This window comes from Homo sapiens, chromosome 4 (assembly GCF_000001405.40).
Source record: "Homo sapiens chromosome 4, GRCh38.p14 Primary Assembly".
Taxonomy (NCBI): Eukaryota; Metazoa; Chordata; class Mammalia; order Primates; family Hominidae; genus Homo; species Homo sapiens.
In genome coordinates this window covers 91,658,950-91,661,175 of record NC_000004.12, presented here as the reverse complement: position 1 = coordinate 91,661,175, position 2,226 = coordinate 91,658,950, and the positions used below count along the sequence as shown (strand labels likewise).

General features: G+C 45.2%; 2 annotated features.

The window, feature by feature from the left end:
• Positions 426 to 948: an enhancer, noted in NCBI's record as "OCT4-NANOG-H3K27ac hESC enhancer chr4:92581379-92581901 (GRCh37/hg19 assembly coordinates)". NCBI's record gives its function as "activates a minimal SCP1, AML or CMV promoter by ChIP-STARR-seq in naive and primed H9 embryonic stem cells {active_cell/tissue: H9 hESC(naive and primed)}" and the evidence as "EXISTENCE:reporter gene assay evidence [ECO:0000049][PMID:30033119]".
• Positions 949 to 1,471: an enhancer, noted in NCBI's record as "OCT4-NANOG-H3K27ac hESC enhancer chr4:92580856-92581378 (GRCh37/hg19 assembly coordinates)". NCBI's record gives its function as "activates a minimal SCP1, AML or CMV promoter by ChIP-STARR-seq in naive and primed H9 embryonic stem cells {active_cell/tissue: H9 hESC(naive and primed)}" and the evidence as "EXISTENCE:reporter gene assay evidence [ECO:0000049][PMID:30033119]".

Genomic DNA, 2,226 nt, shown 5'->3' with positions numbered 1-2,226 from the left:
CATTTTTCAAAATAAGACATACAAATGACCAACAGGTATATGAAAAATGATCAACATCATAAATCATCCAAGAAATGCAAATTAAAACCACAATGAGATATCATCTTACCTCAGTTACAATGGCTATTACTAAAGGACAAAAAATAACAGATGTTGATTAGTATGTGGAGAAAAGGGAGCTCTTATGCATTGTTTTTGGGAATGTAAATTAGTCCAACCTCTATGGAAATAAGTATGAAGATTTCCCAAAGAACTAAAAGTAGAACAACCATTCAATCTAGCAAATTCACCAGTAGATACCTACTCAAAAGAAAAGGAATCTTTGTCAAAAAGATACCAAGACTAGTATGTTTATTGCAGCATTATTCATGATAAAAATATAGACTCAAACTACGTGTCCATCAACAGGTGATTAGATAAAGCAAATGTGGGATATATGCACAATGGAATACTGTTTAGTATTCCATTCATAAAGAGGATAAAATCACATCTTTTGCAGCAACATGGATAAAACTGGAGGGCATCATCTTAAGTGAAACAAGCCAGACATAGAAAATGGAATATCACATGTTCTCACTCAGAAGTCAGTGCTAAAAAGTGTGTACACTGTCAGGCCTCTGAGCCCAAGCCAAGCCATCGCATGCCCTGTGACTTGCACATATAAGCCCAGATGGCCTGAAGTAACTGAAGAATCACAAAAGAAGTGAATATGTCCTGCCCCACCTTAACTGATGACATTCCACCACAAAAGAAGTGTAAATGGCCGGTCCTTGCCTTAAGTGATGACATTACCTTGTGAAAGTCCTTTTCCTGGCTCATCCTGGCTCAAAAAGCACCCCCACTGAGCACCTTGCAACCCCCACTCCTGCCCACCAGAGAACAAACCCCCTTTGACTGTAATTTTCCTTTACCTACCCAAATCCTATAAAACGGCCCCACCCTTATTTCCCTTTGCTGACTCTCTTTTCGGACTCAGCCCGCCTGCACCCAGGTGAAATAAACAGCCATGTTGCTCACACAAAGCCTGTTTGGCGGTCTCTTCACACGGACGCGCAGGAAATTTGGTGCCATGACTCGGATCAGGGGACCTCCCTTGGGAGATCAATCCCCTGTCCTCCTGTTCTGTGCTCCATGAGAAAGATCCACCTATGACCTCAGGTCCTCAGACCAGCTAGCCCAAGGAACATCTCACCAATTTTAAATCAGGTAAGCGGCCTCTTCTTACTCTCTTCTCCAACCTCTCTCACTGTCCGTCAACCACTTTCTCCTTTCCACTCTTCAATCTCTCCCTTCTCTTAATTTCAATTCCTTTCATTTTCTGGGAGAGACAAAGAAGACATGTTTTATCCGTGGACACAAAACTCCGGTGCCAGTCACGGACTGGAAAGGCAGCCTTCCCTTGGTGTTTAATCATTGCAGGGACACCTCTCTGATTATACACCCACCTTTCAAGGATGTCAGACCATGCAGGGAGGCCTGCCTTGGTCCTTCACCCTTAGCGGCAAGTCCTGCTTTTCTGGGGAAGTGGCAAGTACCCCAACCGCTTCTCTCCTTGTCTCTACCCCTCCTCTGCTTTTCTGGGAGAGGGGCAAGTACACCTCAACCCCTTCTCCTTCACCCTTAGCGGCAAGTCCCACTTTTCTGGGGCAGGAACAAGTACCCCTCAACCCCTTCTCCTTCACTGTTAGCAGCAAGTCCTGCTTTTCTACAGGGCAAGAACCCCCAATCCCTTATTTCCACGCCCCAACCTCTTATCTCTGTGTCCCAATCCCTTATTTCTGCACCCCAACCTCTTATCTCTGTGCCCCAATCCCTTATTTCCGCACCCTGACCTCTTATCTCTGTATCCCAATCCCTTATTTCCATGCCCCAACCTCATATCTCTGTGCCCCAGTCCCTTATTTCTGCACCCCAACCTCATATTTCTGCACCCCAATCCCTTATTTCTGCACCCCAACCTCTTATCTCTGTGCCCCAACCCCTTTTCCCACTTTTCTGGAAGGTAAGAACCCCCGAACCCCTTCCCTCCGTTTCTCTACTCTCTCTTTTCTCTAGGCTTGCTTCCTTCACTATGGGCAAGCTTCCACCCTCCATTCCTCCTTCTACTCCCTTGGCTTGTGTTCTCAAAAACTTAAAACCTCTTCAACTCACACCTGACCTAAAACCTAAATGCCTTATTTTCTTCTGCAATGCTGCCTGACCCCAATACAAACTCAACAGTAGTTC